This window comes from Homo sapiens, chromosome X (assembly GCF_000001405.40).
Source record: "Homo sapiens chromosome X, GRCh38.p14 Primary Assembly".
Classification (NCBI taxonomy): domain Eukaryota; kingdom Metazoa; phylum Chordata; class Mammalia; order Primates; family Hominidae; genus Homo; species Homo sapiens.
The window spans coordinates 114,008,415-114,024,690 of NC_000023.11; the positions used below are offsets into that span (position 1 = coordinate 114,008,415).

Genomic DNA, 16,276 nt, shown 5'->3' on the forward strand with positions numbered 1-16,276 from the left:
GCTTTCAAACTATTTCTTGAATATTCTATGCACACTCCCAACTCAAGGCTTTTGATCAGCACTCCCTCTGCATGGGTCCCTCCTTACTTTCTTCAATATTTGCTAACATCCCACTTTATCAAAGAGGCTTACTCTGTCCATCCTATTTAATTTTTTAATGAGGTACAAGTCACATAACAAAAATTGTACCCCTTTATGGTACACTATAAAGTGGATTTTATCATATTTGCAAAGTTAGACAACCACTATCTAATTAAGGAAAACTTTCATCACCTTGAAAAGAAACCCTGTATCCATTAGGAGTCAATCCAGAATCCTCCCTCTCCTCATTTCTAGGAAGTCACTAATCCACTTTCTGTCTCTATTGATTTGCCTATTCTGGACACTTCATATGAAATCATATGATACCTAGACTAGTGTGTCTGGCTATAATGTTTTCATGTTGCAGCATGTAGCAGAAATGCATTTATTTTTATAGCTGAACAATATTCTACTAAAAAGATATAACACGTTTTGTTTATTATCCATCACTTGACGGACAATTTGGTTCCTTCAACCTTTTGGTTATTACGAATAATGCTGCTGTGCCCATCTCTATGCATGTTTCTGCATGGACATATGTTTTAATTTTTCTTGGATGTATGCATAGAAGGGGAATTATTGGGTCATAAGTTAAGTCTGTGTTTTAACTTGTTTCAGGAATTGCCAGATATACTACCAAAGCAGCTGCACTATTTTACATCCCCACCATAAGTGTATGGGGGTCCCAATGGTACTACATTCTCTAAACTACTTGTTATTGTCTTTTTCATTAAAACTGTCCTAGTGAGTGTGATACAATGTCTCTTTGTAGTTCTGATAAGCATTTCCCTAATGATTAATGATGTTAAACATATTTCCGTGTGTTTACTGGCCATTTGTATATCTTCTTCGGATAAATGTCTATCCTATCCCTTTGCTCATCCGTATTATTATTATTATTTTGCTCATCTTTAAATTGGTTTTTGTCTATTTTTATTGAGTTTATGGAGTTCTTTATATATTCTGTATACTACACCTTTAAGGGGTATATGATTTGCAAATGTTTTCTCCTTTTCTGTGGGTTGTCTTTTTACTTTTTTGATTGCATTCTTTGAAAAATAAAAGTTTTTAAATTTTAATTAAATTTATTTCTGTAATTGCTTGTGCTTTTGGTGTCATATCTAATGAGCAACCACCTAACCTAAGTTCACACAATTTATGCCTGTTTTCTTCTAAGAATTTTATCACTTTAGCTCTTACATTTAGGTCTTTGATTCATTTTGAGTTAAATTTGGTGTATGGTATGAGTTAGGTGTCCAAGTATTTTTGGCATGAGTGGATCTAGTTGCCCCATCACTATTTGTTGAAGAGACTATTCTTCCCCCAACTGAATGGTCTTGGCAACTTGCTAAAACAGTTGTGATCCCAGCACTTTGGGAGGCCGAGGCAGGCGGATCATTTGAGGTCAGGAGTTCGAGACCAGCCTGGCCAACATGGTGAAACCCCATCTCTACTAAAAATACAAAAAAAAAATTCAGCCGGGTATGGTGGCGAGCGCCTGTAATCCCAGCTATTCTGGAGGCTGAGGCACGAGAATGGCTTGAACCCAGGAGGCAGAGGTTGCAGTGAGCCGAGATTGTGCCACTGCACTCCAGCCTGGGTCACAGAGCCAGACTGTCTCAAAAAAAAAAAAAAAAAAAAAGGAAAAAAGAAAAAGAAAATCAGTTGATACATACATTTACCTAGGGACTCTAAATTAAATTCAATTAATCTATATGTCTATCCTTAATGCTAGTACCATAGTGTCCTGATTACAGTTGCTTTGCAGTAAGCCTTGAAATTGAGAAATGTAAGTCTGACAACTGGGTTCTTTTTTAGGAGTTTTTGGTTATTTGGGGTTCCTCAAGTTCTCATATAAATTTTAGGATCAGCTTGTCAATTTCTATAAAAAAGTTAGCTGCTAGGATTCTAGTAGGGATCACACTGAATCTGTAGATCATTTTGGGGAGTATTGCTATGTAAATAAACTAAGTTTTCTGATACATGAACAGGAAATGTCTTTCCACTTATTTAAGTCTTCAATTTTATTGAAAAATATTTTCTAGTTTTGAGTGTATGTTTTGTGCTTCATTCATAAAATTTACTCCTAAATATTGTATTCCTTTTGATGCTGTTGTAAGTTAAATTTTCTTAATTTCCTCTTTAGATTTTATCTCTAGTATATAGAAATACAACTTATTTTTAATATAAATTTGTATCCTACAACTTTGCTGTACTTGTTTATTAAGTTGAATAGGTCTAATAGTTTTACTTCTTCCTCTCCAATATAGATGCATTTTTATTGCCTGTTTGCTGTGCTAGATAGATCCTCCAGTACCCTCTTAAATAACAGTGGTGAGGTTGGAAATCTTTGTCTCATTTCTAATATTCATGGGAAATTTTTCAGTCTTTCACAATAGAGTATGATGTTAGCTGAAATTGTTCATAAATACCCTTTATTATGTTGAGGATTCCTCCTTTTTGTTTTTTTGAGACAGAATCTCACTCTTGGCTCACTGCAACCTCTGCCTCCTGGGTTCAAGCAATTCTTCTGCCTCAGCCTCCCAAGTAGCTGGGACTACAGGTGCGTGCCACCACGCCTGGCTAATTTTTTATTTTTAGTAGAGACGAGGTTTCACCATGTTGGTCAGGCTGGTCTCGAACTCCTGACCTCGTGATCCACCCACCTCAGCTTCCCAAAGTGCTGGGATTATAGGCGTGAGGATTCTTCCCTTTGTTCCTAGTTTTATGAGTGTTTTTTTTCTTTTTAATAATGAAATGGTGTTGAATTTTATCACATGCTTTTTCTGTTTCAATTGAAATGATCATGTGGTTTTTGTCTTTTTTTAATATGGTGCATTAGATTAATTGATTTTGTTTTGTGATTTTTGATTAGTCTATTCTTTGCCCCAGCTGTTACCTACTATCTCAGGCAGCCAGTTTCAACAATTGCTTCTCACTGATTTTAATAAATGTTCCCAAGAAAAAGCCTGTTCATACTAGGTAAGCTCCAAGTCAGGTCAAATAAAGACAATTTCATTGGCAAGTCTTCCTAGGCACCTTCAGGCAGGACATTATGGTCTGAATTGTGTCCCCAGAAAACTCACAAATAAAACCTTAACCCCCAATACCTAGAATGTGACTGTATTTGGAGATAAGCCTTTAAAGAGGCAACTAAGTTACAATGAGGCCATTTTGGCAGGCTCTACTACAGTCTGAGTAGTGTTTTTCATATTAAGAGTAAATTTGGATTCACAAAGAGACAGCAGGGATGTCAGTGCACAGAGAAAAGATTATTTGAAGTAGCAGCAAGAGGGAAGTCATCTGCAAGTAAAGAAGAGAGGTCTCGGAAGTACACAATCCTGTTCTTGAATTTCTAGCCTCCAGAACTGTGAGAAAATTAATTTATGTTGTTTCATCTATCCATTCTGCAGTGTTTTGTTATGGCAGCCCTAGCAAACTCATACATTCAAGTAATGACAATTCTCCAGAAATGGGGTTTTAAAGGATCTCCAACCCTATTTTGTCCCTCCTGTACCAACCAGGCTTTTCATCATGATTGTGAGTTGTTGGTTTTCAAGGCTACCATGGAGCTTGGGGACGTGGGAATAGTACAAGTTAAAGGCCACAAAACTTGCTGTTCTTAGCAAGATTCATCTATATTTCTTGAACAAACAATCCTCAGATTTGCTGCAAATATATGGTCATTTCCAGAGTTCTGAAAGTTTTTTCTGACCATTATTGACAGACTTTCACTGCTTTCGTAGCTAATAGAATTTTCAAAGGCTCTTACTTTACCACTTTTCACTGCCATCCTCTACCAGGTATAAAATGTAATTAACCACTGTCCCTGGCATTCCTGATCATCATTATCCTATTCACACTTTAAAAAACAGTATGTATAGGTCAGGTGTGGTGGTTCACACCTATAATCCCAACACTTTGGGAGGCCGAGGTGGGAAGATTGCTTGATGGCAGAAGCTTGAGGCCAGCCTGGGCTACATAGAAAGACTCCATCTCCACAAAAAAATAAGAAAATTAGCAGGGCATGGTGACTCACACCTATAGTCCCCACTACTGGGGAGGCTGATGCAGGAGGATGGCTTAAGCCCAGGAGGCAGGAGGGTGAGGCTGCAGTGAGCTATGATACAGCCACTGCATTCCAGCCTGGGAAACAGAACAAGATCTTGTCTCTAAAATTAATTAATTAATTAACATGTATAGCTTTCTAACATACTGATTTATTTATTATAATGTTTTCAACGTATTTATTATATCTTCTGTCTCCTCGCACTAGACTATAAGTTTAAGAGAACTGGGGTATTTTCGTGTTTTATTCCATGATACATTTGCAGTGTCTTGCATGATACCTGGCCATACTAGTAATCAACAAAATTCTGAAATAAATCAACAAATATTTACTAGCTTTAACTGACAAGACATTGTGTAAGGCTTTGTGTACTGATAGAGTTGCGAAATAAATAAGCTCTAAGTCCTGCCATCTATGTTTATGATATAGAATGTGGCTCACAAGTAATTGAATTTCAAGTAGCATGTACTCAATACCATAAGACACATAATAATGAGCAGCTAGGTGATTTTGGGGAGGTAGATATTGGTTTTGTTTAGATAATTAAGATACTCTGCATTGTGATGTGATGCTATTTGAGATGGGCTTTAAAGGGTTAGTATGATTGCTATGAGCAAAGTTAAGTGTAGGTGAATGTACAGCATTGGAAGAAGAAATGTGAGCAAGAAAACACTTAAAATCTTAAAGGATATCTGTGGGAGGTTGAGCAGAACACTATAACTGGAAGTCATTTTTATTTTTCTTGTGGATAGTGAGAGATAAGGCTAGAAGAATGGTAGGGGCAAGCTTCTAGTAAGCCTTAATTATTTGTTAATAAAAATAATAACTGTTGCATGTTTACTATGTGTCAAGAACTTGGAAGCCAGTGATTCCTACAATATAAACCATACCCTCAAGAAAATTGCAGAATGCTTTGAATGTCAGATTAAGAAAGGCATAAATTACCTTACTGTTACTATTGTGGTGAGACATCTCTGTCTTTTCTCAGAAAATTTTCTTACTCAGTGTTGCTTCTTCTAGAACATCATGTACAGGAAATAGTAGAGGGCATATTCTTGTGTCTAGCTTCTTTTGCCCAACATAATATGCTTGAGATTCATCCAGGTTGCTGTGAGTATATTTACTGGTTCCCTTTCATTGCAATCCTAGTGAGACATATGACAGATACACTCCAGAGTTTTCTATTTTAATGTATATCTGGCTTCAAAGATTAGCTGTACCACATTTTAGGATTATGAATAAATGGAATGGAGATAAAAACAGCCTGGGCATATAATATTGACAGAAGGCAGTCTGAATGAACAAGGAGAAAAGGGTTTTGAATCAGCAATAGGGCAAGAATTAGTATTAGCATGAGTAGAAGGAAAAGATACTTAAGTATTAAAAGGAGATTATAAAAGACTGCAGAAGCAGCAGTCGGCACTGGTGGTAATAATGAAAGGTAGATATAGAGGCTGCTAATACAACGCAGTGGTAAATCTCTATAACACAACTGAAAGAAATATGCAGAAAAACAATGGTCAGCGTAGTTGCTCTGATCAACAAACGAGAGAGATCAAGACTAAGAAGAAACACCCTGAAACAATGACCTTCCCCCCTTTAGTAAAAGATTAGCGACTCTATTAAGAAAGGATTAATGGTTGAATTTCAATTCACATCTCCAGAGTTTTTGAAGTGTTAATTGTAATTAGCTAATTGGTTTTATAATTAACTGCTCTGTTCTTTCTAATATAGTTTTCACCCACATTATGTTTACTGTGTTATTCTCAAATTATTTCTTATATTATTTAAATTTGTTTTTTAAAATTTATGTACAATAAGACATTCTTTTTGTTATGCCATTCTATAAACTTTGACAAATGCTTAGAGCCATGTAATCCTCACCACAACATGGGTGAATTACTTTTATTTTTAAGTCCTGGTTTTTTACAACTGTAGAAGGGTGTGTGTGTGTATGTGTTTGTGTAAGATAAAGGCTAGGGATAGAGATGTAATTTTTCCCCAGATATTTATGGATTAAAGAGTTAAACATAAAAAATAAAACATTGAAAGTATTCTAAGAAAATATGAAACAATATTTCATTACCATTTAGTGATACTTTGTTAATCATGAAACAAATCAGGAATTTTTATGAAAACACTAGCATCAGATTTGATTACATAGTTTATAAAAATTCATGTTTGGTAAAAGACTGTAAACAAAGCTAAATAAGAAGCAAGAAAATATTTTGCAATATAGAGGAAGCGCAAAAGATTTTGGTCTAGCAGAAGCATAGTGTAGTGGAATTATAGTGTAGAACATTGGTCTTGAATTAAGTCAGAAAAGACAGATACATATCCTAACTTTGCCACATAAACCGTAGATGACCTTAGTGCAATTATGCATCCTCTTTCTCCTCATTGCCACATTTGTAAAATTAGCAAAATAGTAGTATTTATCTCATCAGATTTTTGGAGGTTCATAATTTACATTAAAGACTTGTTACAATAATTTGCTCATAGTAAATCCTTAATTAATATTAGCTATAGTATTACTTTCATTGTTGATAAATGATTCTGCAAATCAGTAAGAAAACAGCAAGCAGACTGCGGCGGGTTGGGGGAGCGGGCGGAGGGGGGGACAGGGGGAGGCGGCGGAGGGGCTCACACCTGTAATCCCAGCACTTTGAGAGGCCAGGGCAGGTGGATCACCTGAGGTCAGGAGTTCGAGACCAGCCTGGCCAACATGTTGAAACCCCATATCTACTAAAAATACAAAAGTTAGCCGGGCATGGTGGCATGCATCTGTAATTGCAGCTACTCGGGAGGTGGAGGCAAGAGAATCACTTGAACTGGGGAGGTGGAGGTTGCAGTGAGCCAAGATCATGCCACTGCACTCCAGCCTGGGCAACAGAGCAAGATTCTATCTCAAAAAAAAACAAAAAACAAAAAACAAAAAAGACAAAAATACCAACAAGAAGATTTTAAAGAAAAAAACAGGAAATTTCATAAACATAAAATCTTCAGAAAATAAAATACATATGGCTAATAAGTATGCAAAAGATGCTAAACTACATAATTAACGATACACAATTATTTAAATGAAATAATAACTTCAATCAAAATGAAAAATATTAAAATTTGATGATGCAACTATATAGATATTTTTATACACTGTGTTAGCCAAGGTCCTCCAAGAATCAGAGACCAAGATATGATTATTCATATAAGAAATTTATTGAAGGCCGGGCACGGTGGCTCACACCTGTAATCCCAGCACTTTGGGAGGCCGAGGTGGGCGGATCACGAGGTCAGGAGTTCGAGACCAGCCTGACCAACATGGTGAAACCCCATCTCTACTAAAACTACAAAAATTAGCCAGGCGCGGTAGTGCGCACCTGTGATCCCAGCTACTCAGGAGGCTGAGGCAGGAGAATCGCTTGAACCTGTGGAGGTGGGGGTTGCAGTGAGCCGAGATCGCACCATTGCACTCCAGCGTGGGTGACAGAGTGGGACTCCGTCTTAAAAAAAAAAAAAAAAAAAGAAAGAAAGAAATTTATTGAGAGAACTACCTGTGATAGAAAATGGGGAAGGAGCTGAAAGAATCTGGGAGAACTGCCAAACCACAATGCAGAACTGGCTCTGGATGAAAGGGAAGGGTAAAGAAGGAAGAATTAAATAAAGGTTGGGAGAGAAAGCATTCTAGACTTCATTGTGGTTTAAGAGACTTCTGAAAGGTCGTTGGAGAGTCCTTGAGCCAAAATCCCCTATCAGAGCAGCCCTGCATGTCTTAGAAATGGACCTGTCTTAGAATCTCTGCTGTGCTCAATTGTTTATTGGCTAGAAGCAACCCTTAGGAAGAGTGGTCTGTGCACAGCACAAGTACTGTGATGGATTTCTAAGTGCTACAATTGGGCCGCAGGTCAGTTACACTCTCTTCCATCAGAGATATAAGAAGCACATTTTCATGGCACTATGCATGGTGTATTAGTCCATTCTCACACTGCTATGAAAAAATATCCGAAACTGGGTAATTTATAAAGAAAAGAGGTTTAATTGACTCACAGTTCCACATTGCTGGGGAGGTCTCAGGAAACTTACAATTATGGTGGAAGGCAAAGGAGAAGCAGGCACCTTCTTCACAGGGCAGCAGGACGAAGTGAGTGCAAGCAGGGGAAATGCTGTATGCTTATAAAACCATCAGATCTCATGAGACTCTCTCATTATCATGAGAACAGCATGTGGGAAATGGTCCCCATGATCCCATTACCTCCACCTGCCCCCACCCTTGACATGTACGGGTTATGGGGATTACAACTGAAGATGAGATTTTGGGTGGGGACACAGGCAAACCATATCAAATGGCAACATATATTTATATATTTGTAGGTCATTTTAGCAATAGTTTTTACATTTGGAATGTTCATTTCCTTTCACATGGCAGTTCTACCTCTAAGAATTTATCCTTCAGAAATATACAACTATATATATACATGATGACTTACATGGACTCTCATTCAGCTAATGACTTGCTGCTGAAACATGGAAATCTGATTTTTAAAAATATAAAATAAGTAAAAATATAAATAAATTAAAATAAAATAAATTTTTAAAATAATTACACGACTGTAAAAATCTATGAAAAGTAATGATTATTGCATCATCATCATGGGTCATTGTTGAAAATTAGAAACAATTTAAAAGTTAATCAATAGGGGACTGGGAAAAAAATAACATAGCATTGAATATGATATTGTCAGGATATATGTACATTGAAAGGAATACATGAGATAGTATTGAGCAATAACGGATTACAAATAGGATGTCTCCTGTGAACTTTCATGTCTATGAAAAAGAAAGTAAACCAAGTAAGTGGAATAAAAGTGCTCATCTTTCTGAATATAAGCTGAAATTTTAGCTCAATATTTTGTCTCATAAAGAAAATGAAACATAAAATTTTTCCCATAGTAGAGAACCCTTCTTAATTACTTTCTTTTATTATTATTATTATTATACTTTAAGTTCTGGGGTACATGTGCAGAACGTCCAGGTTTGTTACATACGTATACACGTGCCATGGTGGTTTGCTTCACCCATCAACCCACCATCTACATTAGGTGTTTCTCCTAATGCTATTTCTCCCCTAGCCCCCCACCCCCCGACAGGACCCAGTGTGTGATGTTCCCTTCCCTGTATCCATGTGTTCTCATTGTTCAACTCCAACTTATGAGTGAGAACATGCGGTGTTTGGTTTTCTGGTCTTGTGTTAGTTAGCTGAGAATGATGGTTTCCAGCTTCATCCATGTCCCTGCAAAGGACATGAACTCATCCTTTTTTATGGCTGCATAGTATTCCATGGTGTATATGTGCCACATTTTCTTTAACTACTTTATTTTGAACAACTACTTGGAAAAAATACATAAATCTAAAATGGCCTTAATCAATGTTAGTTTTGTATGTTAATAGAAATTATCAGCCAGAATTTATAAGAAAAAAAGGAAGACAAAAAATCAACACTGATTTTTATTTATTTATTTATTTATTTTGAGATGGAGTCTCGCCCTGTCGCCCAGGCTGGAGTGCAATGGCGCGATCTCGGCTCACCGCAACCTCCGCCTCCCGGGTTCAAGTGATTCTCCTACCTCAGCCTCCCGAGTAGCTGGGATTACAGGTGCACACCTCCACGCCCAGCTAATTTTTGTATTTTTAGGAGAGACGGGGTTTCGTCATGTTGGTCAAGCTGGTCTCGAACTCCTGACTTCGTGATCCACCCGCCTCGGCCTCCCAAAGTGCTGGGATTACAGGCGTGAGCCACCGTGCCCAGCCCAATCAACACTAATTTTTAAATTATCATCTGTGAAGACAGATGACCTCACAATTACGGATTTTGGATACCAAGTATAAACAACCCTTTTCAAGGCTACTTTAGAAACAAATATATGATAAGTGGTTTTATTAGGGATTTTATCATGAATAACAGATACATACTTGTAACTTGGGATAAAATTTTGAGTGATATGTGGATTCAAAAAGTGCTTTCTTTAAAATATCTTAGATAGAAGTGATTATGTTGTATTCTAGAAAAGTGTCAGATCTCTCCAGAAAAAAATCTTCAGTGATGATAGTAACGAATGTTAAATTCAACAGTAAAATATGAATAAAATTGTTTTATAAAACATGAGAAAGATACAACATTATATTATACCTAAATCTGCACTTTGTGTTTATTGTCCAAACCAATGGATTCGGTGCTCTAAAGGATAATAGAGAGAAGTGTGAAAGACAACTTACCCCAAAGGGCATACTATATTGTTGGATCATCAGAAACATTCATGAATTTTTTAAATATATATCTGTAATTAATTTAATCAACATTTGCAAAGTAAATAGGGATATATCATCTTATTTAATTGCCATTTACACAATTTTCTATATTCAAGTTAGCCATATATTCTTGAAAAAAAAGTTCTCCTTAAGAAAATAGAAACATTTCTTATATTCAAAATTATCTTATAATTGAATATATATGGAAAATGCCCCAGCCCTTCAGGAATCTGCTTCATTTCTCATATGGACGGAAGAATAAGGTTGAAAGGCTTTTTTTTGCTGTTATTATTGTTTATACCTGTTTACTATTGCTACCAAAACATATCACAAAGCCAGTGGCTTAAAATAGCACAACGTATTATACACCTCTGTAGGTCATAAACACAACTCACTGAGCTAAAATCAAGGCATCGTCATCAGGGCTGCATTCCTTTCTGAAGGCTATAGGGGAGAATCCATTTTCTTGCCTTCTCTGGCTTCTAGAAGCCATCTACATTCCTTGGTTCATGGCCCTCCTCCTCCACCTTCAAAGCCAGCAACATCAAACTTACTTCTCACACTACCATCTTTGGTTCTCTGCAGCTGGAAAAGGTTCTCTGCTTTAAAAGACTCATGAAATTAGATAGGATTTACCTGGATAATCCAGAATAATCTTCCCATTACAAGCTTCTTAACCTGAATCACAGATGCAAAATCCCTTTTGCCATGCAAAGTAGTGTATTAACAGGTTCGGAGGAGTAGGACACATATATCTTTCAGGGTCCATTATTCTGCTTTCCACACTTTTACTTAAAAATGAAACTTAAATCAGTTATCAATTCATGTTATTTTCAGATTCATGTCAATAGAAAAACATATCAACAAATCTGCATTGTGTGCTTATTATGCAAACCAATGGATTGGGTGCTATAAAGTATAATAGAGAGAATTGTAAAAGAGATCTTACCCTAAAGAGCATTCTACATTTTTGCATCATTCATGAAAAGACAATTAACGATAAAAGCCTATGTGCTAAGTGTCAAATTCATGTGTTCAACAATATTTATTGAGTATCTACTATGCTTTTCTAAGCTCTGATAATACAATGAAAGAAAACACAATGTCTCTACCTTCATGAAGCTTATTTTCATGTAAAAAAAGAAACTATGAAAAGAAAAGAAAATTTGGGGACCCCAAACTCACTATGCCAAAGGGAAAAGTTAAGCTTGGGAGATGGGTCACGCAAAAACTGCCTTTTGTTCCTAAACAGATAGCTGCAACAATAGAAGGCCACATATCTCCCAGGGGGCCTCCTTTACAAATTGCTCACAAGGAAATTCCTGTGGGCCCCAAAAATCTTTACCCTAAAGCAGAGTTATGTTGAATATCACCCTGACAGTACAAATTAACAACTTGTGTTCACAGGTGTGGCACAAAGACAAGACTGGCAATCATCCCTCCATGCACCCTAAGAAAAATACACATTTGACTTTCTCTTCCCTATGTTTACTTTATGTTATGTAAAATGCAGATTTACTGAGAGTGAGATAAATGCATAATTGACTATTCCTCTTTTCCTTCCTGCCCACTCTCCCCTTTCAATACTGAAGTTCTCAAACTCTCTTTGGAGAAAGCACTGGGCTACAGATTTTACTCAGGCACGTCCAGAACCTTGGCAAAATAAACCTCCAAATTGATTGAGATCTGTCTCAGACCCTTTTTGGTTTACAAATTTAATAGCTATACTGTAATATCAAGCAGGAATAAGTGCTATGGAGGAAAATAAAGTAGGTTAAGGGGATAGAAGAGATGGAATAGCTATTCCAAAAAGGTTAGTAGTCCTCTTTGAAAGCTGAATGAAAGAATGAATGAATGAGTGTTACAGAGAAATACTGTATGACTTCACAGTACAGCAGTGATCTCTCTTGACTAGAGTAATCCCAAAGACTTCATATTAAAAAATAGAACATACATCTTTGGAGGGTAAGTAGGGTTTTAGTAAGTAGAGCAATATTTCTCATTGTGCTATATGTATCATCTTCATCAGAATCCACTGCTAAAGTTGTGGATTCTCAGGTGCCACCAACAGACCTACTAAATCAGAACCTCTGTGGATGGAGCTTAGGGATGTAACCAGGTGATTCTTACCTACACTGAATTATGAAAAAACATCACAACAGAGTCTTTTTTTTTTTAACTGTAACTCGCTTTTATGTGCTAAAATACTCATTTCTAGCTACGAGGCAATTTATGACAAAAGCCCCAAACTTCCAGGAGTTTTTGTTTTTGTTTTTTATTATACTTTAAGTTCTAGGGTACATGTGCACAACATGCAGGTTAGTTACATATGTATACGTGTGCCATGTTGGTGTGCTGCACCCATTAACTCGTCATTTACATTAGGTACATCTCCTAATGCTATCCCTCCCCGCTCTCCCCACCCCACGACAGGCCCCAGTGTGTGATGTTCCCCTTCCTGTGTCCAAGTGTTCTCATTGTTCAATTCCCACCTATGAGTGAGAACATGCGGTGTTTGGTTTTCTGTCCTTGTGATAGTTTGCTGAGAATGATGGTTTCCAGCTTCATCCATGTCCCTACAAAGGACATGAACTCATCCTTTTTTATGGCTGCATAGTATTCCATGATGTATATGTGCCACATTTTCTTAATCTAGTCTATCACTGATGGGCCTTTGGGTTGGTTCCAAATCTTTGCTATTGTGAATAGTGCCGCAATAAACATACGTGTGCATGTGTCTTTATAGCAGCATGATTTATAATATCTTGGGTATATACCCAGTAATGGGATGGCTGGGTCTATAATTCTAGAAATACCATTTGAGGAATCAACACACTGTCTTCCACAATGGCTGAACTAGTTTACAGTCCCACCAACAGTGTAAAAGTGTTCCTATTTCTCTACATCCTCTCCAGTACCTGTTGTTTCCTGAATTTTTAATGATCGCCATTCTAACTGGTGTGAGATGGTATCTCATTGTGGTTTTGATTTGCATTTCTCTGATGGCCAGTGATGATGAGCATTTTTTCATGTGTCTGTTGGCTGCATAAATGTCTTCTTTTGAGAAGTGTCTGTTCATATCCTTTGCCCACTTTTTGATGGGGTTGTTTGATTTTTTCCTTGTAAATTTGTTTAAGTTCTTTGTAGATTCTGGCTATTAGCCCTTTGTCAGATGGGTAGATTGCAAAAAATTTTCTCCCATTCAAGACAGAGTCTTAAACCACTAAAACTTAAAAGAAAACTGCACTGTCCCTTCCTGACAGCAACATGTAGCCCATGCCATGCCTGGGAGGATTAGCGAGTAGACTAAACTGGTGAAACAGATGGTCAAAACTAGAAGGATGTTTTCTACCAGGCTGAGAAGTTTAAACTCTTTAAAGACCAGTGAACCATCAAGTATTAATGATCAGGTAATTAACGTAAAAAGCAATATTTTAGGTCTATTAGCAATATTTAGGACTATTAGTCGTGACATGTACAGGATGGACTGTAAGTGAAGGTATCAATAATGAGGAAAAGTATGATAAATCTATGGCAGTGGTACACACTTGAGGCATTACGCATCAGAGCCAGGTTAACTTCAATAATAATCAAAGGGGAAGAACAGATATGGAGGACATTATGAGGTAAGTAAAAATGAGACATTGTAATTGTTTTGATTGGGAGAATGAGGAAGAGTCAGAAATGACTCAGATTTTGAACACAGATAACTGGCTAAATGGGTTTGCTGATTATTATGGAACACCATTACCTAGCTTGATGGGACAATACTCATAAATGATTATATAATAGTATAGGAGAAAAAAGCTATTACCTTCTTCCTGCAATTTTTCTAAATTTGCCAGTAATCAAAGAAATATGATTAGAGCCCTCTCTTGTACTTCTACCCAAGTTAACACGTGAAATAACTTCCAGCATTTGGGAATCAGTGTGCAAGAAAAAAACACCTTAATATTGAAGAAAACTGGAACTAGTCCTTTATAGCAACTGTTACTAATTTATTAGCTGAGGAGTAAGTAGAATGTAATTATAGCTTTATGATTGTCAGTATCAGTAGCATTTTGGAGAAAACCTGTAGTACTTCATGTTTGTTTCTTCAGTTATAGCACATACACTTAAACACAATCACACACTAAGAAATAATTACTATTGTTTAGCAAATGATAGTAATTATGTCTTTCAATTATTTTTAATTTAAAAATTATGTATTTCAGTCACCTAGTAATCCATGTAAAGTAAACCTCATTAAAATAAAACTTTTTTTTTTTTCTTTTTGAGACAGAGTCTCGCTCTGTCACCCAGGCTGGAGTGCACTGGCACAATCTCGGCTCACTGCAAGCTCCACCTCCCGGGTTCACGGCATTCTCCCGCCTCAGCCTCCCGAGTAGCTGGGACCACAGGCACCCGCCACCACGCCAGGCTAATTTTTTTTTTTTTTTTTTGTATTTTTAGTAGAGACAGGGTTTCACCATTCACAGGATGGTCTCGATCTCCTGACCTTGTGATCCACCCGCCTCGGCCTCCCAAAGTGCTGGGATTACAGGCTGAGCCACCGCGCCCGGCCAAAATAAAACTTTTTAAAGGTTGAAGTACACATTTTTCTAAACCAAGATATAGTAGGATACTCAAAGATAAGAAACAGGTAACTAGTGATTAGAGTATTCCATGCATTTTAAATGAAATCAACTAGGAATGTGAAGAATATGTTCTTTAACATTCTCTGTGTGTGTGTTGGTAGGGGGGGCTTTCTACACTTATACACATACGCATAGAGATATATGCATATATGTATCTGAAAAAAATGAGCAGAGATTTAATACACATATAATTTGAGTTCCATATATATAGAGAGAGAGAAAGAGAGAGAGCGAGAGAGAGTGTGTTCACCACATTAATGCCTTTGGAATTATCTGTGTGTATCAAAACACATTTGGCAACATGTTGTTACTATTCTAGAAAACTACCATATCTGTTTTCACATCTCGTTTTTTCCACAAATATAGTTTACTTTGTCCACTTTATTTTGAAGAAAAATCTCTCTCTTCCCATAATTTTCTACTTGGAGAGAAATAGCTAACAACTAGAAGAAGCAAAACTACATCCTACATTTTCTTCTGAGGTCAAACCCACTGGGCAACTGAAGTTGGTATTATTGGGTTTTCATGTGATTACTTGTCTTCTCATGTGAAACATGAATACACAAAAGGGAGAATGGGTTCAGCTTCCTGTAATGGCCAAGTGTCTCCTTTCAGAGCAATCCTTGTACAAATAACACCACCAATTCTGAATAATATTTTTAATTAAGGCATTGGATTATGATTGAAAGCAAGCAGGAACTGGAGAGGATTTGACAGTCATGAGGAAGTAAAGGTATGAGGTGAGATTTCTTTTTCTTTTAATAGCTTTTAGCCTTATGGCAGGCCCCAATCTGTGCCCAGCCTTGTGGATAATGCCCTGATAGAAATGCTGTAGTCTAATAGGCTTGAAAAATGAGAGAAAGGAGTTCTGGGCAATCACAGCTACTGACAGTGAAGGAAAAAATTCACAGGAAAAAGGGAGCCAGGAAGGGAGATGAACATGTATTATGAATAGTCTCTGCCTAAATCTCTGGCTGACCCTTGAACTACACAAGGGTGAGGTAGACTACAAGGAGCTAAGCCAAAATAACTAAATTGAGATCTGAGCTGCCTACACACCAAGGGAGAGACATTGTTCACATTACGAGTTCGGCGAAGTTAAGAGGTTTTTTTTAATGAACATTCTTTAGGAAAACATAAAAATAAAAACCAGAATCTTCACAAGATTTACAACTTCCAGGTACAA

The 16,276-nt window shown here is 37.0% G+C and overlaps 1 non-coding gene across 1 annotated transcript, besides 1 other annotated feature; it reads left to right on the top strand.

Moving 5' to 3' along the window:
• Positions 1–8,618: 8,618 nt before the first annotated feature.
• On the top strand, positions 8,619–8,688 carry LOC124900490 (small nucleolar RNA SNORD30). The gene has a single exon (XR_007068421.1). It is a non-coding gene; the product is annotated as a small nucleolar RNA SNORD30 (small nucleolar RNA).
• Positions 11,452–11,953: an enhancer, noted in NCBI's record as "NANOG hESC enhancer chrX:113263094-113263595 (GRCh37/hg19 assembly coordinates)". NCBI's record gives its function as "activates a minimal SCP1, AML or CMV promoter by ChIP-STARR-seq in primed H9 embryonic stem cells {active_cell/tissue: H9 hESC(primed)}" and the evidence as "EXISTENCE:reporter gene assay evidence [ECO:0000049][PMID:30033119]".